Below are 27692 nucleotides of genomic sequence, written 5' to 3' on the forward strand. Positions count from 1 at the left end.
CCAGTCACAGTCTGGGCTAACCAGCCTCCACACCTCCAGCTCCACCCCAGATGCTGGACCATTTCTTAACACGTAGTTTTAAAACTCAAGTAGCAGGGTCTGCACATTTCTATAGTGTGACTTGTCCTCTTGTCTATGAATTTATCCCCATTGACATTGCTACATTTGGATCCCATTAGTCTAGTTGTACTCTTATACTCCATGTATTGAGGCAAAAAGCACACTGGACACAAACGGAGCTAGATGTAAATGTCTACACCCAGCTCTGCCACTCCTTAGCTATGTGACTTTGGGAAAATCATGTGACCTCTGATCCTCAATTTACTTACATGTACAAGTATTTCTCAACATTTTAATAGGAATCAAAATGGGATCATATATGCTAAATTTGTCCATTAATAACATTGCTAATAACATGTTACATAAAAGTCAGATGTATTCATGGCCAAATCTTCCTAATGTCCCTTAATTCCAGGCTAGACTGTCTGATCATTTATATGTCTTTCCCAGATCCTATAGGGAAAATGGAATTTTGTGTTCACTTTTCTATAAAGAGAATGCTGAGGTGCCTTAAATATTCACTATGAATTTTACCTCAAAGGGAATATTCTGTTCCTTTGCCAGCAAACTTCCTTTCCTATGGGATGAATGAAGAAAAACGAGTACATATTATTTCAGGAAGAGTCAAAGATGATGACCTCAGAAGACATCTGACAGCAAACGCTTGAGCTAGAAAAACATGGAAAGGCATCCACCAGAAGTTTGGTGTGAGCAGGAATGTGGTGTGCACCTGGAGAATAGGGCAGTGGAGCACGGGCTTCTTTCCCCTCGAGGTCCATCACTCCCTCCCCAGTGACTGCCTTCTATGTGCACTCTTCTCCTTCCAGGGTCATACTTTCTTTCTCACCATTCCCCTGGCACAGATTTGCTTTAAGTTTAAACCTTCAGAACAGCTAGCTGACAGAACTAAGACCTGGAACGCCTGTAAAACCAGCAATGGGCCACCTCTATGACAGCGAAGGACACCTGGCCACAGAAGAGAGAGGGAGGGTGGAAGGAAAGTAGAAAAGCTCCTAAGCAAGCCACCTTAAGACATCTCTGTCAGGATAAACTAAAAGGTTCACCAAATTATGAGCAGAAATAACCCTAACAGAGAAAATTATAAAATCACCCTGAATAATCTGAATGCTATGGCTGCTGTGGGAAATTTATGTTCATGGTTTTTATTAAGAGCTTTTATTATTTTTAAATTTTATTTTTTTGTTGTTGTTGGCTATTACTTCCTTTAAAATGTTTGTACCACAGGCTGCTTGGCAGAGTTAACATGCCAAGGTCAGAGCTTCTCTTCCTGTATACATGAATTATTTCTACCCTGTTTCTGGCCAGCTCTCATAAATAGGTATTGTGGAGATACAGCCTGTGCATGGCTGGTACAAATCCATCATCACTGCAGGAAAAACTCAACGCATAAGATCTTCGGGTGCTAGATCAATAAAGGCATGTTTGCATATGAAGGACAATCAGGTATTTTAGCTTTAATGCCAAACTTCAGGTCTTAGCTAAAGTCAATATGCTATTAATATAGGCACAAAGTAGCTTGTTTGGTGAAAAATATGTAAAGGTATTTTTATAATATACTGCTATAGCAGCAAGTCAGGTATGTTCTATCCCTACTGGTGAAAGAAGGGCATTGCTCTCTCCCTTCTGGGTCATGTATGAACCACAGAATAGAAACAGCGCTGGAAAGGGTCTCATACTGAGCAGTAGTCATATGACTCCTTGGGAACGTGAGTCTGAATTTTACAAGCCCTCAACTTTCAAGAAAATGAAACCAACATGATGAAAAATGCAGACAGACATGGAACACATGGACAACCCCATTCTCTGTGATGTAACTACCAAAGATAAGAAATACATATCTCAACAAAGTTAGAAGGCAGCGCACTGTATGAGAAGATCAAAAAGAGAAAACCCTCTGGGACTCCTAGCAGACCCGAAATAACAAAGGACAGCCTTCCACCAGACTGCATATGTGTCCCCTGATTGTTCCAGAATCGATATAAACAAACCAATTCCCAAATTAAGGGTTTTCATTTTTAACATTTAGGGACATTGGATACAAAAAAAAGGGGACAAATCTTCTCACTTTAAAAAGCAATCTTATGGCATCACAGTTAGACCACCAACTCTGAAATTATTTTCATATGAGAACCAGAGTTTCTATTTAACATGCATATGAATGTCTAATCATAGGGAACCAGTTTGAAGAAGCATGTTATATTCTCACAGTGTAATATTCGGCATTAAGTTTCATGCTTTTGAAAAACATTTAATAAAAAGGGAACATGTCCTCAATATCCTAGGAAGAGAAAAAAGTAGATTGCAAATTATCCATACATTAAGATGCCAATTCTGTTGTATTATTCTGTATTGTATTACAGTGTACACACAGAATGCACAGAAAAAAAACACTGGAAAGAAATTTTAAAATATAACTGCTAATTCTTTGTAGGTGCAGATATGGGTAAATTTTATTTTATCCCTTCAAATGTCTTTAATAAACATTAATTACCTACATAATAAGAAAATCATAAATGTTGTTTTTAACCTAGATATAAACATAGAATTTTCTCATCTCTCTACCACTCTTTCTTCTTCAACACCAGTACTGGAAAAGCATTGTAAAATAAAAATTAGAAAAAATTGTTTAGAGGACTCAGGGACAAACCACAGATAACTGTCATGAAACAAAAATCTCAATAACATTTAAATGAGATGGATGAAAGCCATCTTTTGGCTTTGGGAACACTTTCCTTTTCACTGTTTTTCCTGAAGCCAAGGTTAGGCCAGCACTTCTTCAGTCTCTGAATTCAATTCTGCTTTCTCTGTCCATCAGCATGTACAGGTTTCAAAAGTAAAGTCAACCAAGGTTATCTTGTTCTTTTATCCTTTTCATTCAGTGGCTGTTGACAAGCACTGGAAGGCAACCAGCCTTTCTGAAATGATATTCCAAAGTCTATTCCCCCAATACATCCTGCTCTTCTCTTTGAATTATTTCATAAATGTGCATGGGAGTAGCAGCTTGACATTTTGGACTGAGCCTACAGCAGTGTTGAGACTTTAGGGATTAACAGCACACCTCTACCTCCTCCTCTCCATGGCTGCCTCCTGTAATCTCTTTCTGGAACCCTGGAGAATGGTGTAGTCAAACAGGATGGGCCAGGGCTCTTGGAGCTCAGTGAACAAGGAAACATCTGGATGTGAGGGTCTGCACTAATCACAACTCAGAAAAACACAACAAAATATGTAATCCAGTGGCCCCGTGTCATTGTCGTAAGTAAAACACACATTAATGGAGTCTTTACTAATGAACATCAACCCAATGTTAGATGGTATCAAATAGTAAGATTTAAAAATCACCTTAGTTTATAGAAATGTTAAACATCACAACAAGCACTTTTTTTATTGCAATGTACTTGTTTTGTTTTTCCCAGCCACCAGGAAAGCTATGATACAAATTTGTGGGGGCAGTCCTTGGCTCATGATAGGTGCTTAATAATTATGTGTGAGAAGGAAAGAAGGAATGAAGAAGGAAAAGGAAAGAGAAAGAAGGAGAAGTAAAAAGGAAGAGAGGGGCGGTTGGAAGGGGAGGGAGAGGAGGTGGAGAGGGAATGGAGGGGAGGTGGGGAGGGGAGGGAGGGGAGGTGGGGAGATAGGGAGGATAAGCCATTTAGTTCACGCATTGTTGCTTGCACGGGACTGTACATTACAGAGAGACAAGGACATATACAATTTTGAGGACTTTCAAAGTCATCCCCTGGTGTTGTTAACAGTTCCAGTACTCAACACTTCTCTCTGTTAAGAAATTCTCCCTTTAGCTAATATAAACCCTCTCTGCTTGATCTTAAGCCCACTCACTCTGGTTGTGTCTCAGAGGAGAAAGTGAACAGCTGATCTCCACACTTGGTACAATTATTCTTCACACATTTAAAGAGAATAAGTCATCACCTCATTGCCTTTTTTTTCTTTCCCTTAACAACCCCAATTCCCATAGCCTTTCTCCATGGATCCTGTCTTCTAATCCCTTAATCCAATGATGCATATTAGTACTCAGTTCAAAGTCAGTAAAAATAGCATGTTGTCAAACGGTGGTATCAGGAGATCCTGAATAAACACGCTTGCCATGAGGAGCTTCTGTTTCACCCCCTTAGATGCCTTCTGTAGAGCCTGGAGAGAGCATGAATATCCCCTGGCCTCTCCTCTGAGGCTGGGAGGTGGAACAAAGTCTGTCCAGCTGTGCCCAAGCAGTCACCAACACTGCACTTACTGGCCTGCTCAGTGATGTCTCACACCATGCTAGGCACAGAGGTATAGTGGAGAGGCACACAGATGTGCCAGTTTCTTCTGAGTGAGTGAATATGTATGAGCGGGGATGGAGGAGCTGTTTTATTTTGCCAGTCAAAAGCTTTCAAGTAATATCAATAGAGGTAGTGATTGACCTCTATTGTATAAACACTGATTTGATCATTGTGGACTATGATCACCATAGTCCTTAGGGGCTAGGATCACAGAGCCCCCACACCCTGGAGTTGGTGCTACCTCCTGGACATGAGGTCACCAGAGACACAGCGTCCCTTAGCCTGTCTTATTTATTCCAGGCTGCAGATACTGGCAGAGCATTCTGTTTTACTACATTTTCATTGCTTCAGCTCTTGTGGGGGTCTCCCTTTTCTCGGTTTGGTTGCACTCCTTCCCTCCAGTTGATCCATCCATTAATTCCTGAGTACTATCATGGGTTCAAAACTGTGTGCCATGCACTTTCATTTCTAGTCTCTCCTTTACTGGTGGATGTGGCTGTGACATCTCAGAGTTGAAAGCCATAGATGGAAACAGGTTTGGGGAGTCCAGAGAACGATCTACACAAACTGAAAATGTTTTTAATCTACATAAGGAAGGGAGTTTTCTGGTAGGTGGAGGCAGGGAAGAGGGAGTGGGCTTATAAAACACCCTCTTGTCTCTTTCTGAAAAAGATAAGCAGAGATGCAAATCTTACATATTCTCCTTTAATTCTGACCCAGACAGTCCCTTTAAGGTCTGTTTACATCTCAGAGCCCAAAAATGCACCATCATCATTTCTTGAAGTCATTACTCAGAGCACACCCCCACTGCATTTCATTTTTATTATCACCATTTTAGGAACGATTAAATGGAAGCAGAGAGCAGTAGCAATGAAGCAAATCATGAGAGGCTCTGATAGAGACAGAAGCCTTAAAGCTTGTTGGAACTGCATCTCTGTGCCAGACTATTTTTAAAGCAAGTTTATGCAGCTGTCCCCCACTTAGGAGCCTTACAAATGAGCCCAGTCTGCACACAATGATTTTTTTTTTCACCATTTCTACCCTTTCCAACTCACCATGCTATGTCTGCATGCATATGTGTGTGTAAAATATTTCTTTTTAAATGTCCTTCTCCACATTCCTACATACCAGGGAGATGTTCTTGGCTTTCTGTGAATCAAATTCTGATCCAGAGATCTCTTTGCTATTCTAGCCCCCTAAGCCTCCAAGAGGTTCCTTACATAGGATCCCATTAAAGGTTCACAAGAGCAGATACTGTTCATTTTTTTATTAAAGTAGTTGGGTAAATGTATCAAATCTGTAAATGTTTGGAGTATTTTCAGAGGAGTACATAAGAAATTGGCAATAACAATTGCTCTGGGGAGGATTCCAGAGACTGGGAACAGCATTGCTCTGGAGAGGGAAGCAAAGGGTCATAGATGAGAAGAGGACTTTCTTTTTACTGGATACTCTTTTGTGCCATTTGATTTTTTACCATGTGCAAATATTACCTTAAAAATTACACAAGAAGGGTATTGACTACCAATTGACATTTGTTGGAGACTGACTGTTTCAGTGACTATTCACTGATGTTTGACTGTAAAACCTCTTTGAATCTTTACAACAGCCTTATGTAAAACCCTATGTTACAAACTCAGGTAGTATCCATCACTAGCTGATAAATGGCAACATGGAGAACTGAACTCAGTTCTGATTTCCAAAACCACAGACTATGTTGTGTTGACTTCAAGTCTTCCCAAGGGAACAAAATGTGTAAGACTGTAGCATTGGGACTACTTTTAGGAACCTAAAGGAACATTGGGAAGTCGTATCACATGGTTCACACCAACAACTTAATCTTCCTTGACCCGAGATGCCTTGTTAAAAGCTGGTCACACATGTATGACTCCACTGGGAGTTGGGCCTCCCTGACAATTCCCCCCAAGTCCTTCCCTGGCACTGGGGTGCTCACTCCAGAGGAGGGGAAGTTACCTGTTCCCATGCTGTCTCCAGTAAACTTCTATGTCTAAATGGGAGATTTTCAGGGTAGAAGTGAAATAGCTTGTCAATATTCTAGTTCTCCTAAGCATACAGATTCTTCATTTATTTAGCAATTATCTTTTGAGTGGTCCAGACACTGAAGGCAAGCACTCTTCTGAAGGGTCAGAATTACAGAGGTGAGCAAGGTCCTTGCCCCCAGGAAGCATCCATCCTGGTGTGAAGAGGCAGGCAATAAACAAACAAGCAAGCAAGTAAGCAAAACGCCAGATAATGAGTGTATTCAGGAAAATTAAAATCTACTGTTAGACAGTGTGACGGGGTGACTACCTCATCATGGGTCATTAGGAGGGCCTTTCTGGAGAAATATTTACTTAAATGACAGGAATGACAAATATGTCCTAGGAGCTATGCCCTTCAAAACAAGCTCAGGTTCCTGTGTGTTCCATCCCTCACCCAATTTCTTTTCCAATCTGCTATTTATTTGCAAGGAGATTTTGCAGTCCCAGAAGTTAGCACTAGAAAGGACCCAAGAAGTCTTCTTAGTCCCATGCCATCATTTTAGAGATGAGAAAAGAAAAATGTAGAAAAGTGAAAAAAGCAGGTCCTATGGCTAGTTAGTGGCCTGACCAGTGGCTGACAGTCCTATCTGTAGCCCATATTTCTTCCACAAACCCACATTCCTCCCCTGCTTATCTGTCCAGTGTTCAAATCCTCCCTGTAGAATCTTCACCCTGGTGCCTGCCTCCCTGGAGTCCACTGACACTAAATCCTCCCTGGACCAAGGGGACTTTCTGAAGCAGCATTAGGCGTCTTGAGGATGATGTCCTGGGGACGAGGATAACAGTGGAAGGACCAATACAACTTTCCATGATGCAATCTCACCACAACCCAGCCATTCCCTGGAGCCACACCTGGCTCCTGCCATCCTCCCTGCCCACAGGTGAGCCCTAATAGAAGCCTTCAAGTTGGGGAGCTACATGGCTCTATGACCTCAATGAACACTAGACATCTATCTTCCAAAGTGTTCCCTGGGTTAATTGAGTCGATATGAAAATGTTCTATTCTATTATCTCAACCCCTCCCAAATGCCCTACAAAAAGATTAACCACAGAATTCCTTTAAACAGCAACTTCCTTTAGTACATGTAAAGTATGATCTACAAAAATTCAATCTACACAAATATTTTCTCCTGCCCCTCCCCATGAAACAACAGCTACCGTATCAAGGGCAACAACATAAACTTGGATTCTTAATGGTAGATTTTGGGATTCTTTTATTATGTAATGATTCTCATACATGCTACAAATATTTATTGAACTGCTCTATGAAATACGCCCTTACAGGTTGCTGTGAGGACACAATTGAGCTAAAGACACAGCCTCTGCCCTTTGGAAGCTTGCATATGGACAACTCTAACAAGAGGCAGATGTGATGGGTGCTACCACAGACGTATGGACAAAATCTATAGGGGACAAGGGAGTGTGAGATTTTATCTCAGTCAAAGATGAGGGGAGGAAGCTGCAACATTTTAATTGGGTTTCAAAGGATGGTTATGATTATATAATTGGATAATTCATTCTAGGAAGACACATCATGACATGTACAGGGGACGGGACCTACAAAGGCACATTCTCAGAACAAGAAGAAGCCCAGGGTAGCTTAATTGTGAGACAGGAAATCATGAGGAGGAGAATAAAGGCTTGGAAGGCAGACCAGAGCCTTGAATGCAAGAACAGATCAAGTCTAGCCCCAGTCCATAAACCATAGAAGGCTCAAGTTGGCTTTGGGCAGAGAAGGAACATCACAGTCAGAATTGTGCTTCAGGAAGCTCATTCTGGCAGCCATATTTTGGACTAATCTGAAGGAGTAAAGGCAGGTACCAGGGACAAGGAGGCCCATTTAAAAAATTGTCACATAGTCCCTGGATCATATATAAAGTAAAGAATAAATTCAAGAGCTAGAATAAAAATAGAATTGGTGAGGGAAGGGATCCAAACCCTAGGAAGTAGGGTCTAGTTCTAGAAAGGGGTAGGGGATGCAGGCCTCAGATTCTGGACTCAAGAAGAGGAGTCAATATGACCTGATGGTGAGTGGTGTCTCTTTAAGAAAAGGCTGTTGTGAGATGCCTCCTCCTGCTTGAGACAGTAATTGTGAGCCTACTGCAAAGAAAGCTGCCCCCTCTGTACATCTTATGAGCTACCTATGAAGCCTCAGTTATTAATAGTTCCTCTTCTAGAGACAGACAGAAGTGCCTGTTATACATGAAGAACCCAGAACATTTCTTAAATTATGACATCTCTACAGCAGCAGTGAAAGCAGCTTGATTGTAGTGAAAAGCAGAAGCCCAGGGAACAACCATTTCTGAACAAATGATAACTCAGTGGAGGGAGGGCAACTTTAATCAAGAACATCAGGCAGGCCAAGCGCAGTGGCACACACCTGTAATTCCAGTGCTTTGGGAGGCTGAGGCAGAAGGATCACTTGAGGCCAGGAGTTCAAGACCAGCCTGGGCAACATAGTGAGACCTCATTTCTACCAAAAATTTGAAAGTTGGCCAGGCATGGTGATACACACCTATAGTCCCAGCTACTTGGGAGGCTGAGCTGGAAGGACAGGTTGAGCCCAGGATTTTGAGGTTGCAGTGAGCTATGACAGCACCACTGCACTCTAGTCTGAGTGACAGAATGAGACCCTGTCTCAAAAGAATAAGATTAAATAAAAAGCTGGCATAATTTAAGCCTTATAATTGTGCCCTATCTGACAAGAGAAAATGCATGATAGATTGAGGTCTTTCAACTTGAAGAATTAGATCCTGGATTCTACTGCCTGAGCCACACATGCCTAGTTTCTCGGGTGAGCATTCACACATTCACATAACTAGCTGTCCAGGGCTCTCTGTGATGAGGTTGTGAATTTCAAGAAGTTTATCTCTGGCCTCATTTTCTGGTAACTCTCTCTAGAAATATATAGCTGGATTTCCATTCTAGGCAGAACTATGCTAACATTTTGAAGCCCATTCTCAGCCAATTGGTCCATGGAATCTGTGGAAGTTGTCTTAAATCAGTTTCCCAACATGTTTTCACAGAATATGAATATCATGAACAAAGGGGTCTCAAGGTAGAATAATTTTAGGAAATTCCATTCTAAATAAAAGTAAAGATGTTTCTTTGCTATAAGACACCTCTGAACTTCCAAGGGTTAGTATGTTCCAAGACTCTCCTAGAGTGAGAAACAGTAGGTAGCATCTCCCAACCTTATGTATCTGTAAAGCTATTTTTCAGCAAAATGTCTTGAGAGACAAGAGCACTGCAGAACATATTTGGAGAAAAATCAGTGATGACATTACTCTCAGGAATACTTGTATTCAACTGGGAATCTGGAATAATAAAAAATTGTAATACTAATTGAGTGCTTACTATGAACCAGGCAACTTTCTAAATACTTTACGTATACTTCATCCTTATACCTGTTGGTACTATTATTATTATTTTCCTTCTCTAGATGAGAAAACTGAGGCATCAAGTAGTGAAGAGATTTGTCTAAGATCCTACATAGAGCTGGGAATTGGACCTAGACAGTCTGGTGCCCACAGAAATTAATTTCTGATGGTAGAATTTCAAACACTGTGATCAACTGGCAGTGGGAGAGATTGAGCAGAGCCTTGCATGGGAATCCTTCAATCACAATAAGTCTAAACCTTTCTTCTCATAAATTCATCTTTATAAGCTTCCCAGATGCTCTCTAGGACACAACTCCTGAACTATACCACTAATTCAGTTTCTTCACCAAATTATGTTATATTGTACACACATACTCTCCCACAAAAACAAAGTCAAGATTCAGACAGCAATGCAATTATCAACAATAAATGGTAATACACAAAGAAAACAATCCCTTGATTAACCAAAATAGCAAGTAAATGAACATGCAAGTTTGAGAAATGGCTTCTCCTGTGTATCAAGGTATTGATCCCTTGCTCCACAGGTCTAGGGACAAAAGCCAAAGGACTACTTTCCTTCATTGTGTTGCAAAATTTCACATTTCTACTCTACTTTGCTCAAGAATTGTCAAAGACATGTCTTACCCTTTCCCACTTCCTCTCCTTGTTCAGAAGAATTATCACCAGTTTCGGGTGCATCTGGTAGCCATCTTCACTGAAGGACAAATTCCTCCCCTCAAAAGTGACATTGATCAGATACCTGTAAAGATAAAATAAAAGGAAGATTAAAAGTATGAAGAGGGTATACCATGAACAAGGCAGTCAGGTATATAGAGAGAAAGCTGGCTGGAGACAGACAAGTAAATAGAAATACAGATACCATTATCAAATTTGGTACTTCTTGAACTCGCATTTGATTATGCAATAGAGTCATCCAAGTTTTCACATAGTAGGAATCACATGAAAAAGTAATATAAAAATTTTAAATAAAAGATGTTTGGTCACCGCATGTTCTCACTTACAAGTGGGAGCTGAACAATGTGAACACATAGACACAGGGAGGGGAACAAGACACACTGGGGCCTGTAGGCAGGGAAGTGGGGAGAGGGAGAGCATCAGGAAAAACAGCAAATGCATGCTGGGCTTAATATTTAGGTGATGGGTTGATAGGTGCAGCAAATCACCATGTCACAAGTTTACCTATAAAATGAACCTGCACATCCTGCACATGTACCCCAGAACTTAAAATTAAAAATAAAAATTTTTAAAAAGGTGTTTGGTTTAAGTTCAGCCTAGAGGTATGACTTTGAGCAAATTACTCAGCCTTTTTGAGCCTCTGTGTTTTTCCCTATCAGTGAAAACTAGGTTAATAAAGGGACCTACTTCATTAGGTTTGTAAGGCTTAAAGGGGATAACTTAGGTTAACCACTTACCATGCGGCCTGGTGCATAGTAGAGTCTCATTAAGTGCTAACAATTGCTATCAAAAAACAAAGGTGGATTAAAGGTTGGAAGTGGTGGAGATAAGAAATGAAAGTAGGAGTGTACCAAGACAACTTTCTGCTAACAGAGGTGGCATGTAGGAGCCTAGAGTCTCCCTCTATCCCAGAGATATGCACATACTCTTTAACTCTTGCTAAGGTCTTGCCAAGCCCATACTTCTAAGAGTTGTGAGATGAGTACAGTAAGCAGGGATCTGATATGACAGGATGCATCTGGAAATCAGGGCTATTACACTATGTATAGGGAACAGAAAATACTAAGGAATGGGAAAAGGTGGGAAAGGGATTTCACAGAGTGCTCTGGTTACTTGTGCATAGATTAGCAGAAACTCTGGAGGTAACTAGAGTCAGACCAATGAAACTGTCTTCCTCCCGGACACCTTCACCTCAGCCCACCCTTTTCCCCTCTGGCTGCTGTCATCTGATGAGCAGTCCCTTCACTGGGAATTCCCAAAGGCATGCTCATTACAACTGCATTAGTGCAACTGCACTGATGGTAATTAATGTCTTTTTACCATAATGGCCCAAGGAATCAATAATGATTAGCTCTGTGTTCATATGACATGTTACTCTGGAGCCTTGGGCTTAATGTTTCTTGTGAGACCATGTCCCTGCTAAGAAGCAAAAGGGGTATCTTGTAACTGCAGTGAGGATGCTAAAGGAGGCAGCTTGAAGACTCTTTTTTTAACTCCTCTCATTCAATGAAACTGGGAGGTCTTCTTTGATTCTTCCAGGTAACATTAGGTTAAACAACCAGGTTGCTAGGATGCATATTCTTCTGGTGATTCTAATGATGCTTATGCAGCATGAATCAAACCCTCATGGATCACTTCTCATTTCCAGAACTACCTGGGATGTTTAAGCCTGTCATTCCCTGGTCCTGTGTAGCTTCACAAATGCAATCAAGAACACAGAAGATCCCAAAGGAGTAGCGATTCCTAGAATCTTAGAATTGAAAGAGATTTTCACAATCAACTAGCCTACCACTTCTTACAGTTTATGCTTCCCTTCTATATCATAATATTGGTCTTCTTAGCTCTTCTTGAATTCTTTCACTGATGGGGAACTTTTAATGGCACCTTCTGGGCTCAAGGTAGGCATCTCGGTGTTGGCTACTTAGTTCTTTCTTACTTAAAGCTGAAACCTCCTCCCCTGCAACCCTTTGATACATGTTTCCTCTTTAGAGATTCTACAGTCTTAGTCTAATCCTTCTTCTACATGAGAGTTTCTCAAGTATTTGAAGACATTTATCATACATCCCTTATGAAATCAATTTTACTCTTTAAAGACCTGTTAAACTCTTTTAGTTCCGTAATTTTAACTTGATGGATTAAAAAACAAGCACAAGGAGGTTAAATTATTTTCCAATGTTATTGTATGGCAGATGCACCTGACAGCAATAACTTATGCATACCCTGAGAATGACCCTACTGTCTAAGAAAAATGTTCAGAGTCCTAAGCTAAGAAATCTTGGAATAGCCAACCCAGAGATTCACTTTTTATCTATGAAGGACATCTAAACCCCCAGTTCATCTGCTGGAATGCAGGCCATACAGGGAATCAGAGCCCTTTGTTTTGGGTTAAATGAACGTTTAGGTGAACATTGCTAAGTGAAAATGCTATATAAACTGCATGCATTTTACAAATGGTAGCAGTTCTCCTGTCCAGCCCACCACCACTGGATTGTCCTTGTATGTAAGTTTCCCCAGTAAATCCTATGTCTCATTCATTATCTCTGGGTCTCTTCTTAGGCCTTTCAGATATGGTGCCATCGCTATTGGAGTCAACAAGGGTCCAGTATGACCGTTACACAGCTAATTGGGAGCAGAAGTAACATTTTAAGCAATATCTCCAGTTTCATGTCCTTTCCTGACACCAGCCTGATTCTCATATACAACATCAGACTTAGCATCCCAAGGCCTTTACATATTCCTCATATGCCATGGCTTCGTGTTTTCTACCATCCCACCTTGGCTGCTCTCTCCAGACACCTCCACTCAGTGACATGTAGCATCCCCAACACAACTCAATGCTCAATCTGCTCCACTTCTTGCCCTGTTCCTCAGCTCTCAGCCCAGAGCGGCTCACCCAAGCCCATCATTAGTGTGAAGGTAATATTCAGGTCTCTTATAGTTTGCAATGACTCTAACACTCCAACCAAAGGCCCTGAAGAATTCATTGCATAGAATATAATTACAAAACCATGAGACAGGATATTTTAAACCAACAAACTAGAATATAAGCACTAATATAATATACTTGAAAATGTATTCTTACTACAAAGACCCTGAACAATTTCTGGAGTCTTCAAATAAAGTTTATGAGACATGTAAAACAATTTGGTCTCATCTATTTTGAAAGGAGGAAGGAAAGAAGGAAAAAGGAAGAAAAGGAAAGAGGAAGGAAAGAAGGAAAAAGGAAGAAAAGGAAAGAGGAAGGAAAGAAAGAGAGGAAAAGGAGGAAGGAAGAGAGAGATGGAGGAGAGAGGGGTAAGGAAGAAGAAGGATAGGAGGGAAATAAATTATCTGGTGTAAGCATCCACCTTGTTATCAGACACTGTGCTGAATAATTCTGCCTTTAGCTAAAACACCATTAAGAATATTTAAAGGAAAGTATCTATTTCAGAAGGCAATTACAAAAGAGAAGTTCCAAAAATAATTCAATTAATAAGCAACATCAATGGAATAACTATATAGCCTCTCAAGATGACTTCTTTGAAGGGGACAGCATTGAATTAGGTGTACAAGTTGAGAAATTTGAACTTGCAGAAAATAAATCACACTCATGAGCAATGTAATTGGTCTGTAAATTTTTCTGGCTATTCCTGTTCCAGCGCCTTCTGATTTTCCTTAGAAATTGTTCTCTTTCTGGGGTGCTCCTCCTCTTCCAGCTCTAAGTTCATTTTATCTACCTAAGCACTCCTCACATATTTTACACTTATCAAAAACATTAGTAAAATTTTATGACAATATACAAAATATTCTTCTCCAAAGTATCCTTTCATCATTCATATCTGTCAGCAGCATATAGATTAATCATTCACACTGTGTTTTCATGAGTAATTTCTTGTGGTGTGAGAACATTTAGCCATTACTGAGGAGCATGCAAATATACATCAGCCTTGAGCAAGATGCCCTTTGAATAGCAGAACAAACCCATCCATTCACTGGTAATGAAAAGTGTGAAAAAATAATTGGGGGTGTGGTCACTTCTAGACATGTGATCTTGGCACCTGAATCTCAGTTATTCTTCTCTAAAATGGAGACATCATTTTACTTCCAGCTTATCAGAGAAGTCTGTTGTGATGACCAAATGAAAGAGTGGATAGGAAAACTATATAAAATATGATACAAATATAAGGTTATTTAATAGGAAAAATTCAGAAAAAGAATATATTAGCATAATTTGAGAGTCTAAAGGCAAGAAAGTTGCTTGATTTTAAACCTCAGTGAATAAGTGTGATAACCACATTTTAACAAGACTCAATTATCAATGAAATACATCTGAAAAATGGAGATTGGCTTCTACATATGGAGGCTAAACTAGATCAAATGGCTATATTAATCAATTTAACTTTCCATAAGACCTGAAAATATCCAACTACCCTTGGATCTGGCTGTACTTTGTCGATTTTTAATATTAATTAGAACCTCGAAACGTTCATGTGTGAATCCTGGGTAAAGGATTAAATTATAATTAAGAGATGCCATAGCTATTCTATTTCTCTCCAAACATGTCATCCTCAAGTACACAGTCAAAAAGCTTTGCTTCAAGTGGCAGCCAAATGCAGAAGTTCTGCCCATGAGACTCAAATCCCCTGGAAGTCCCATCAAGGTTGTGTGTGTGTGTGTGTGTGTGTGTGTGTGTGTGTGTGTGTGTGTGTGTATTTTAAATTGCTTGATTTGTCTCTAGAATGTAGTTTGAACCTTAAGAAACCAGATGGTCTGCCTCATATAGTTCTAATATTACACAGAATCTCACATTGCTAAAACTAGGAGAGAACTTAGAAATTATCCATAGAGAACCTTCATTTTAGAGAGGAGAAAATAGGTCCCAAGATGCAAAACAACTTTGCCAAGGTGACCTGCCTGTTCAGGACTGGAGCTTAAGTCTTCTGACTCTCAGCTCAGGGTCCTTCCATGATCACCAAGTGAAGTAAAATCAGTTCCACAGAGCTCCAGATGTGCATTTTAGCATTCTTGAATCACATGGCACATCCTGGACTATATAGATCCCTAATACAGACTGCATAAAACAAAATCTATCTTAGATGATTAATCTACCTGCTTGCCTGCTTGTTGAGAAAGAGCCTCAGAATCCTGATGGGCTCAGAGCCAATACATTTGCTTTATATGGCCAAAGTCACACCACAGTGAGCTTAATGGGATCAGGCTAAGGTTAAAGAGCCCTTCTGCCTCTCTGACTCTGGCCATGCCACTCCAAGCTCATCTACTGCACCACGTTGATACCCACAGCAATGATTTAGCGGCATACCTTGAGTGGGAGGCACTCGAAGGAGCTCTACCAGAATTTTCCCAGCCAACCAACAGCCCTAGAACTACAGTACTTACTTTACCCCGCATGTCTTTACAAGCACTAGATTTTTAAAATTAATATCTGCTAATGTGTCAATCAGAGAAGAGATAGCATCTCATTTCATCCAATCTTTTCATCTTCAGATGAAACAGACAAAGCCCAGCAGGGCTTTTGTGATTAGATGACAAGGCTGAGAATAGGACCCAGGTGTCCTAACCCCTAGTCCGGTGTTCTTTCCATGTGCCACCATGCTTTTAAAAAGTGGCGGTTTTTCATATCTCTCATTTTCCTTCTCTAGCTATTAAAAGTAAAGTGATAAAAGAACACAGTTCCAGGCAAGGGACAAATTCTTGACCCCCTCTTTTTTTGCAATTTTCTGGCTCTGAAAAGCTGTAACTCTGTAACTTTGTATCATGCATGTGTCACCTTCTAAAGCCTTCAGCTTCCTCATCTATAAAACAGGTGGTTCATACCATCTTACTTGTCTGGTGTGAGAAGCTACAGGGAGGATCCTTTGACCTGTTGTTTATCTCTACATTTCTTTTCTTCTTTTTTAAACATAGTTTTTAGTGTGTATATGTAAGGTATCCAACATGATTTTATGGGATACATATAGATAGTAAAAAAGATTACTCTAGTGAAGCAAATTAACTTATCACCTCACATTTCATCTGATTAATACTGTTCTTAGTAATATTGCTATAATTCTGTTATTATTAGCTGCTGTTATTACTCTCTACCATGTGAATGGAAAAAACACAATTCTTTTGAAAGACTAGAGTTTCTTTTTAGAAATTATGATTATTTATACACAGTACCTCTAGAAATAGTAGAAACAATTTCCCAAAGGATTAGAAATAGTGGACTTAAAACTTTTAAAAGCTACCTAATTACAGACTGGTATTGGAGAAAAGAGGCAAAGATATTTAAAAATTAGATTTTCAGTGTTCTAGTTTAGATAGACTAAACAGAAATTTCTGAATTTTTCCCAGCTAAGAAATTCATAATTATCAAAATAAATCCAAAATGATTAATCCAGTTTAGCGTGGTCAACATGGCAGGCAAGATTATTACAATCTGGTCAACAATGTCCTCTTTTTAAGGAAGAAGGATTTGAAGAAGTTTTAAATGATTCCTTTGAGATATGTCATATATAAAAATATTAAACTCTGTGGTTGGACAATATAATTAGAAATGCCAGTTTCCTAAGCTGTTCTTTTAGGCAAAATGATACCTTGTAGAGAAGCTCAGGAATAACTAATTTAAAGAGCAGACTGTAATATTAGTTTATGTTTACTTGAGATGGGTTAAAAATAGTTTGTCTTCCAGTGGATAACACATTTTCTCTGAAATGGTGTTTATACCATTAATTTATTTTGCAAACCATTCTTCACAAATCATAAAATGTTCAAGTTTGGGCTAGTTCATATCACAGTTATTTAAATTCTAAATTAGTGGTGTTAAGTTAATGAGATATATTAAAGTATCTTAAATTCTAAATTAGTGGTGTTAAGTTAATGAGATATTAAAGTATCTTGAACAGTGATTGATACAAATTTAATATACCTCTTATCTCCTACTGGTGGTGAGAAATGTGCTTTAGCCCCTTAGTAGTTTGGGCTGAACTGAATTCATGAGAGGTGTAAGTGGCAATGTGTAAATTCACCATCTATTATGAAGAAAAAGTGCTTTCAGCCCCCTTGGCCTAACAATAAAAAATTTCAGAGAGCTATTACCTGGATTCTGTTTCACAACTGAATACCATGAATTAGTTTAATCTGCAATGAAAGAAAACAGAGGAGGACTGATATAAGAAGGTAGAGAACATTAACCTCCCTCCAGAAAGATGCTGTCTTTGGCCAATTATCAAAGCAATGAGAATTTTAAGGAGTTCTGTCACCAGCTGTGATAACCTCCTATCTATGCCACCTTTCACCAAGCAGGGTCAATGTGGCAGGCCATGGCTAGGGAACAATGCTCTCTAGACTTACCTACGGGTCCATCTGGGATGAAATGGAGGAACTCATTCTCATTAGTAAGATATTCTCATTCAAATGAATGAAAAAAATCTGGACAATGCCCCAAAATGCTTAGTGGTGAGAGGTGAATAGAAAGAAAATAAAGGGGAGAAACAGTAACTAAAGAGGGAAAGAATACAGTGTATATAACACACGTACACACTCATACTGCAACAGGCAGTGTAGCGAGGTGTTTAAGAACAAGGGCACAGTTCTTAAACAGTGTAATAGTCACAGTCTCCATTCAAATCCTGCACCCACCAGTTCTGAAGCTGTGTGGTCTTGCAAGTTATTTAACCTCTCTTTCCTTATTTTCTTCACCATAAAAAATATAAATAATAATATTACCTATCTCATAGGATTGTTGTGTTTCGATATATATAAAGGGGATGTGAGGGTGATCTGGCTGCGGCATCTGTCACTCCATCGATTGCCAGGGTTGATTCAGCTGATCTGGCTGGCTAGGCGGGTGTCCCCTTCCTCCCTCACTACTCCATGTGCATCCGTCCCTAAGCTGCAGGCTCAGTGGAAGAGGATGACCATTCCCAATAAAGGAGGACCGGTCTTCGGTCAAGGGTATGTGAGTAGCTGGGCTTCCATTCTAGAACCTCCAAACAAGCTCTCAACATATATAAAGGACTTAGAATTCTCCCTATCACAGAGTAAGCATTATGTATTAGTTGTTATTATTATTACCTATTTTTTACATTGCCTGGGTGTCAGGGGAGTTAGCATTTGAAGGGACTTTTGGATCACAGTCTAACTGTTCATATTTAGAGCTGAACACTCTGAAGCTTGGGACAATGATGTCATGCTTTGGCCCATTTAGTTGAGTCTGGGTCTCCTAATTCCTGGATCTCTGTTTTTCCATAATACTACCAGTTCAGTATATTCTCTCTCATTCCTATAACATCCAAAACTATTAAGGCTTGGGAATATTTGTTTTGTTCTTACTATGATTAGTTACCCCTGTGAGGTTTTTTTGCAGTGGGCAGTCACTAAATCATACCACTTCAATATAAAGTTCACTTTCCAAGGAAGGCAAAAGATGTGCTCATACCTCCATAATTTTAGTCTAGAATAAATGATTCCTCAAAATGATCCCCCTTCTGACCTCCCAGATCCCTGCTTTGAACACTATGTAATTCTCTTTAAAATCCCTTTGGAGAGAACACATTCTTGATTATGTGTGAAGGTACCACACTTCCTTAGGGAACTAGTGAGGCTGCCTTTTGATGCCAATTAATCAAATGTGCAGAATACCAAAGTTGCTTCTCATTTAGCTCTACGCACAGAACTCAGTGATGAAAAATGAAATTCCTCTTTGTGCTCATGCTCACGACTCTTAGTCACCTCTACTATAGGTGAGACCTGGTAAGGTGCTACAGGAAAGCCAGACTTATTAGACAATGCTAGAAAGGTAGAAATCCCCAGAGAGAAGAAACCAAGTAGCTTTTCTGCATAATGTTACTGTCACTGGATTATTTTTCCTTTTAGTTCATATTTCCATGCTGTATATAAGTTAAAATCACTTTCTTAAAACACTGAATAAAATTCCTTTCTTCTTCCAGAGATTAGGTGTTCAGTATGTTGGAATGCAGCCCAGAGTAGGTAGGCTATCAAAACTAAGTGGTGAGACCTTCCCAGAGAAAATACCAAGGCAGATCAAAGGCTAGCTGATCACTGACTACGTTATCTCTTTTTTGTGACTATTAATAATTTTAAGGTGAAGGCTTGTCTTTCTGACATCCATTTTAGCTCACAGGCTGGAAAAACTATTCAGGGGCTATGTAAACAATGACTGGCAAAGATTTCTCTAGGACATTCAACTATGGCAGGAAGACTTTCCTTCCTGTGAACTTTCAGGCCTACTGAAAGAATGTACTCAAGGCCTACTGAGCATATGTACTCAAGAAGCCCTTGGGTAAGAACCTAAAGTGACCTAGGTATGATATCAACGGAAAAGAATAAGAAGGCTTTTCTCTCCCTTTTGATCTTTCTCCATTTCCTCAATTTGTCCTTTCTGTAGCCTCTCTCTACTTCCTCTTACACATTGGGTGGTCAACAAAATCAACACACAGGAAATATCTCCATACACACAGTTCCTGCCCCATCTGTAGCTACCATATTTTTGACTTCACAATTCCCTCTAACAGCTCTGCCAAAGGGGGCAAAATGGTAGATGAATATATGATGAGTTGGTGATGGCTTCACTTACAGGGCTGGAGAGTGGAAGTTATGAAGAATTGTCACTCATGGAAAAAGAAGGTTATAATTTAGTTTTCCAGTAATGGTTGGCAGAGTTCTTCAAGTGAAGATTTATAGAAGTGATTATGTTGAATTGGGAGGAGGAGAGGGTCAAAGGAGGGAGGATCTTCCAGGGTCAAGGGGACATTTCCAACAGAGAGAAGACTCAAGATGCCTGGGTGAAGATTATGTCTTTAGGGGAGACAGGCATGTCATGCTATGTATGTGAGACAGAGAGAGTGGTGGAAGCTGTTGACTCATTCAAAAACATATCTCTGACTTCAGAAAACCCAGTCATAAACCACACCTACCATACAGATAAAATCCTTTCACATAGGGAACGAAATCATTTCTCCCAAGGAAAGACCAGAGTAATGAGAGAGATGCAAAGTGGAATATAATCTGGGAATGGAGAAAGTGAACTGACAGGAAGATTTGTTTGCAATAAGGAGTTTGTTAACGTGGTTCCTGTAGCACATTCTGGAGAACAGCTTTCTGGGCTACAGTTCAGTGAGATGAACAGTCTCTAACAGTAGGGTTGGTTTTAAGGGTACAGGAAATTTGTACTAGATGGCAGTGAAAGGGATATTATGGATCTGAAAACTGTGAAGCCAAATGTGTACATAATCAAAGAAAATACATCTAGATGAGAAAAACCACAATGCAAAAGTGCTGGTCAAAAGTTATCAGTCAAACCCACATCTTATATTTCTAGAGTTTCTTTAAGTTTCACTCTAACGCAGTACATTATGGCACTGTTTCTAGACCAGGTTAGAATAAAGAGGTTGGGGAAGATCAAATTTATTTATGTATTTAGTTAAAGATATCCATTGATCTTTTCCAATATTCTAAAATGAGATTGACCCTTGAGTCAGAATTTCAAGCAAGATGAGGCCAAGAGTTTCTTCAAACCAAACCCCATTTCCTTCTTTTCTCATCCTCAAGAGGACAGCACCATGAACCCCAATTGCATCTTCACTGGGAAGCTGAAAGAAACGTGTAATCATCTCTCCCTGCTGTACTGTGTGGGGGCTAGAACTCTGCTGTTCCTTCTTTGTCAGGGGATCCTAGCTCTTTCTCTCCCTCTGTAGGTTGATGTTTCCATGGAAACATGCTCTTTAATGCTTCTGAAATTACTGTGCATTTATACCATTAACTCTTTTTTGACCAGGGCAAATCACAAAGAGATTTTTCAACCCCTATGAAAAAGTAATTTTATTTTCTATCTCTTCTTACTGGGAACTTTTTAAAAAAGTAATTGGCGCCTGATGACCCTATTTCCTCCCCAGACTTCACTCCTTAACCCTTGTAATCTTTGCTTTTGCCTCTCTTTTCTACTGAAACTATCACAGCTGCAAAATCATCAATAATCAAACAAGGTTGATATGATTTGGCTGTCTGTCCATCCAAGCAAGGATGTGTGTCCCCTCCAAACCTCATGTTGAAATTTGAACCCCAATATTGGAGGTGGAGCCTAATGGAAGCTGTTTGGGTCATGAAAAGATTAATGCCCTCCCTTGGGGATAAGTTCCTTCTTTATCAGGTCCCATGAGAACCAGTTGTTAAAAAGAGTCTGGGTGCACCCCCCTCCCCGACCTTGCTTCTTCTCTCACCATGTGATCTCTCAACATGCAGTGTCTCTTTCACCTTCCCCCACGAGTAGAAGCAGACTGAGGCCCCCATCAGAGGCAGATGCCCAATATTGAACTTTCCAGCCATCAGCATCATCAAAAAGTAAACCTTTTTCCTTTACAAATTACCAGCCTTGAGTTTTCTTTATAGCAACACAAAATAAACTAAGACAAAGATCAACAAAAATAAAATCAGTAGCCTTTGCTGTATCATCATTCTCCTAAGTGTTCTATAGTCTCTAACAGTTGATACTCCCAGTTTTTTTTAGCAAGTCCCTTTTTTGTACTTTATTATTTAAAGTAGGATAATATCTTGGTTCTCCTTATACAACTCAGGCTAGTCATCTCTCCATTTTTTCTCCACTTTGACTTGAAACTCCCCAATTTGGGGGTATGCCAAGGTTCAGTTTTGAGCCCATATTGTCTCCCTCTGAGATGCATTCACAGCCATAACATCAACAATCATGCCAAGGTCTCCAAAATCCCTATCATAGGTTCCACCAATTCCCTGACCTTCAGCTCAATATTTCTGATTGGAATGTTCTACTTGAATGCTCAGATCAAACTTAACATGACCAAGTCCAAGCCAGGTTCCCCTGTGTCTTTAGACAATGAGACCACCACACTTACAGCTTTAAAACTGTTACAGCTTTGTCTTCTCTCTTTCTGTTATAATTTCATCTTTAACACATGAATGAAAGGAAGAATTAGCTGGCTGCTCTTAGGCACTGGATTCCCAGGATGAATCAAATCAATTAAAAGTCAACTGTAGTTTAGCTTCATGTACAAAATATGCTGACTGACATTTTTCCCCTCTTCAGCACATAGTTTCAGAACTTTGTCTCCACAAGGTAAATGAATCTCATAGCTTTCTGATCTATAAGTGAAGTTGCTTGGAAGTCTTATTTCTGCTCTGGCTGCTCAATTTTTTAAAAAACCCAACAATGTTACCATTTATTGAGCACATGCCTAGCCTTGTTTTTGGTGCTTTACATTATTTTACATTCTCACATCAATGATATAAAATAATAGGTAAATACTATAATGAAGGCCCAAGGTTGGGAGCACTGGGAGTTGAATCCATCCACTTCTGAATGATTCTAAAGCCCATTTTCCTTCCAATGCCCCACGCTAAGAACAATGTTGTCAAGAGAAGCAATGGTCAGTAGAGAAGAAAAGAAAGAAGCCACAAACTTCTAAGATGGTAGAACTAAAATTCAAATCCAGATCTGAATGGCTCCAAGCCCTAGGCTCTTGATTATGATTTATACACCAACCAGTGGTCCATCAGTTGTTTTAAATTGTCCCTGATGCCATCACCATAAAGAGGCCTACAGGAAAGTCAACTAAACACACAGGCTTTTTACAGCCCTAAGAGAGACCAGAGGCACATTACTGGTAAGGAGCTATGTTCATAGGATAATTAGAGAACCCCAGTCTCTAAGGGCTGTCAATCTGTCATATTTCACAAGCACTAACCCAAAAAAGTGAAGAAATTGAATGAATTTGCCTTATAAAAAAACAGGAGAAAAACCACACAGCAGTAAGCTTGACTGGACTTATAGAGGAATTAATTCTTAGATCGTGCTCTGGAAGGAAGTCAGTTATGAAAGTCTAAGACTGAATTCTTGGAGTTCTTGTTAAAGGCAGACAATAAGAGCTAGAATATTTATTTGGTTTGGTTAATAGTGACAAAAACTTATCCTGCTTTGGCACAGAATATCCAAATTCTCTCTGGACTTAAAAATACAATATTAAAGTATTTCTTTGGAGCTATAGTCAACTCTCAATTGCCCTCAATAGGACAGGCTGATCTTCACTTATGATCTGGACAATCAAATACATAAATTAGTCTCAGTACTTACCCTGTTTGATCTCTCCACAGATTCACACCGTAGAATAGCTCCTTCCTTTGAAATTGCTTTCTGTCTAGATACTACCATGCTATGTTATCTTAGTTCTCCTCCTTCATCTGTGATTTCTCCTTCTTTACTGGATGCCTTTATCTTTTCTCTTATTTTACTTTTTAAAGGAAATTCAAAACAGGCTGTTTATTTCTCATTTTATGCAGATATCAGCCATTCCCATGGCACAAACTCTTCTTCTAAGTGGATTAGTCCAATTCTTCTCCTCCAGGTCTGACCTCTTATTCCCCATTTCCATCCTTTGCCAGTCATCTCCACTTGCATTTATCCCTATTACAAACTCTTAGTGCCTGAAATTGATTGGCTTTATCTTTGCTCTCAAAATAGCTGACTTTCAATTCTTCCTCTCTCTCAATGAGTTAAAACTTATGAAGCACTTGGAAAGGTGCCTGGCACATAGTAGGCACTCAGTAAATATTAACTAGCCTTATTCCTTTAGTCTTGAAATCTTCCAGCTGTCTCCAACATTTTTCTTTTAATTTCCCATGCCCAATCCATCCTCCAAAACTTCCCTTTCTTTACAAAATGATTCTTACATTTGTCCCTTCTTTTCTACTCCCTAAATGTTTACCCTAGACCAGGCATATATCCACTCATACCCAGATACTTGCAACAGCCTCCTCCTGGGCCCTTTGCCTTATATCATTGCCACCCTCCCCAATACTATCCCCATTTAATCTTACCGTGAGATTTCTTAGTGCCACATCACTACTTGCTCAAACATCTCCAATGGCTCCGCACTGCCTAGAGCCAAAGTCTGCTCTCAGCAAAGGATCTCTACACCCTGGTCCCTTCTACCTGTTTGGAATTCTCTCATCTTTACATGAACTCTTGCTGAAGCCAAGAACCATCTTTGCTGTCCCCTGACAAACATTATTTACACTTTCTGCCTCTTCCATTTTCTCTCAATTGAGCATAATCCAACTCTTGCTCATGCTTATGGACTCAGATCAAATCTTATCCTCTCTCTACACTTTCCTATCAATCTGAGGCCTTCTCCCCTCTTCTCTCCTCTTGTCTTATCTTGCCTCCAGTCCACATTTCAACATTTCATTTATTGTTCACTTGACTTGTTCTGTTCCCTTTTATTACTTAATTTTTTACTTGTCTGTATCTTGTCTTCCATGATAGACAACATACTATTTAAAGGTAAAAATCAAATCTCGTCCTTCTGTTATCCTTTGCAGAACCCAAACTAGTATCTTGCTTGTGGTAAGTATTCAATAATACTTATTGATTTGTTTTTCACTTGCAGAAGACTAGTGTTGAAATCCTCCCATGCTACTTCCTCACTTCTCATTCCCACCCACACCCCTTCTATGTCACACCACACACACACACACACACACACACACACACATGCACACGCACAATCTATTTACAAATACTTTTTTTTGCCTCTCTCTCTCTCTCTCTCACACACACACACACACACACATGCAACTGGCATTGAGTACTGGTTCCCTGTGGAAGAAAGTAATTCCTCCAATTATTAATTTAAAAAAAGAATAAATTCTAAAGAATATATTATCTATAATCTTTCTTTTCTAAAGAATGAGATGAAAGTTTGGATTGACTTCATTCTTGCCCAGACTCTTTTTAAACTTCTCCCTTTTGATGTTTTTCTCATTACACTGCCATAAAAACATAGATCTGCCTGTGAGGATCATGTAATCTACCCAAATCCTTATTCTCTCCATGGTATTGTGCCCTTGGAGAGAGCTGACACAGGAGTGAACATAATTAATGATCGGTAGAGAAATCAAAAGCGATTTCTCTTTGTTTCTGAAATATTTTATTCCGTAAGAAAGAAAAATAAATAAAATTTCTTGATATTGCAGTTTGTGGCTATGATTTTTTTAGTTTAGAAACTCAAAGCATTGGGGGAATCTGAAATATATGTTAAAATTAATATGTGAATATTCTTTACTAACGTAAATCATTTTGTCAGTTTGGAAAGAAATGAAATCAAATTCATCTTACTTATAACATTGAGATGAGGAGGTCTTTTAAGAGAAACTAGAAAAACAAAAGGGACATTTATTCATTATTTTTTTCTAGTACTTTTCAATTTTTGAGGAAAATTAAAATATCCTCAGTGGAGAAGAGGAATAATCTTTTTCTCAATCTTCACATGGTTAGGTGCACATAACTACAAAATCCCATTCTCACTCCTTCCCACTCCTCACTCCCTACACACATCACAGCAAGGTGAGGGTGAATAGTTGATATTCACACTAAGATCTTCTCTACATTTGGCCCAACTCTTAATAACCCAGGATGTCAGTATCTTCAGAGAGTCCCTGTGGGTCCATGCAAATAATGCCTGAAGTGAATATTTCATGGCTGGGAAATTAAGAGTTGAGGATAGTTCAGAAATTTCTTGTTTGTAGATAACACCAGGACATGATGAAGTAGTTCAGGTGGAAATCAGAAAGGTATTATGAATAAGTCTCTCTGAACCACAGTAAAGACTTAATCCCTGTGAAAGCAAAGGAAGTTAATTTGATTACCACTTGCTTGAATTCCCTCAAATTCTTGGGCATCCTAGCATAACCTACAGGAATTTAGCATTTCAGTCAATTTCTTTACCCCCTTTTCCAGTCATTACCAGGTTGCTTTGATTATATTAAGTTAAAAACACATTCGATATGATTGGGGAAAGGAAGCAAAATAGCTTGAAGAAATACAGTGTTTGATGTCTTCAATTACAAAGGGGGTTGGGGTGAGTGTAGAAGAGATAGAAATGTGAGAGAACAAGCACACACTAGAGAGAAATGAAGAGATGGAGAGGAGATGAAACAGCATGCAGCATGCTGGATAACATCTCCATGGCAACCACATTACATGTACAGAGAACTGCCAAAATAAGTCAAGATCCAAGCAAGTAGGTGTTGGTGGAAAGAGAAGACAAGCACTCAGCAATGGGCAAAAACCACCTAGAGGAGATGAATTATCTTTGTGAATTTAACTCTTCTTCCCATTTGTTTTTCTAACCACACCTAAAGCTCTAGTTTGAGTGAGAATGTGTCTAAAGTGTCGAGGCTGCCAAATCCAGATCATTCAGGAAGGTCTCAGGATGACATGAATGAGGCTTAAAAAGCCCCCGATTGAAGCCAAGAGAAAAATCATTAAGTGAGGTAAATAATTTCCCTGTAGCAATTAACTCACTTTCCCAAGTTTTTTCAGCAACTTGCACAGAAGGAATATACTTTTTTATTTTCCAGGTGGCTTCAGGAGGGGTAACAAAGTTGATGAAAACATTATTGGGCAGGTAAAATGGAAACTATGAAGATAGGTACCAAGTTCATACGTTAGGGAGCCAGGCTGTCCATTGGTGAAATCTATCCCTGTAACACAGGGAGAATCCTATTAAAAGTATAGTCAAGATGTCCCTAGAGAATATAGGTGCTCAGAATACATACAGCAGGTCCTCAAATGACATATTTTTGTTCAATTTGTTTCCTTACATTGATGAGAAAAAAATGGATTTCTGGCTGGGTGGGGCCCCTGTCTGTGTGGAGTTTGCACATTTTCCCCACATCTGTGTGGGTTTTCTCCAGTTACTCTGGTTTCCTCCCACATCTCAAAGCTGTGCACGTTAGGTGAACTGCCGTGTCTACATGGTGCCAGCATGAGCAAGTATGGGTGTGTGTGAATGTGCCCTGTGATGGGATGCCATCCTGTCCTAGGTCAGTGTTCACCTTGACCCTCAGCTGTTAGGGTAGTCTCTGGTTACCCGAGACCCTGAACTCGAATAGTTGGGTAGTAATCATTACTTATTTTCATTAATCTTTCTTTTCTTTTTTTTTTTTTTTTTTTTTTTTTGAGGCAGAGTTTTGCTCTTGTTGCCCAGGCTGGAGTGCAATGGTGCCATCTCAGCTCACTGCAACGTCCACCTCCTGGGTTCAAGTGATTCTCCTGCCTCAGCCTCCCGAGTAGCTGGGATTACAGGCGCCTGCCACCACACCCGGCTAATTTTGTATTTTTAGTAGAGATGGGGTTGCTCCATGTTGGTCAGGCTGGTCCCAAACTCCCAACCTCAGGTGATCTGCCT

General features: G+C 39.6%; 1 protein-coding gene and 1 pseudogene across 2 annotated transcripts in view; one reads left to right on the forward strand and one right to left on the reverse strand.

Annotated features, from left to right (window-relative positions):
- The window catches only part of GRIN2B (glutamate ionotropic receptor NMDA type subunit 2B), a 444798-nt gene that overhangs the window by 127986 nt on the left and 289120 nt on the right, over positions 1-27692 (reverse strand). For both annotated transcript variants that reach the window (NM_001413992.1, NM_000834.5), the window contains one exon: positions 10423-10537. In NM_001413992.1, the coding sequence (NP_001400921.1) occupies positions 10423-10537 (115 nt within the window). The remainder of the gene's footprint in view (positions 1-10422; positions 10538-27692) is intronic.
- On the forward strand, positions 18220-18476 carry RN7SKP162 (RN7SK pseudogene 162; annotated as a pseudogene).

This window comes from Homo sapiens, chromosome 12 (assembly GCF_000001405.40).
Source record: "Homo sapiens chromosome 12, GRCh38.p14 Primary Assembly".
NCBI lineage: Eukaryota > Metazoa > Chordata > Mammalia > Primates > Hominidae > Homo > Homo sapiens.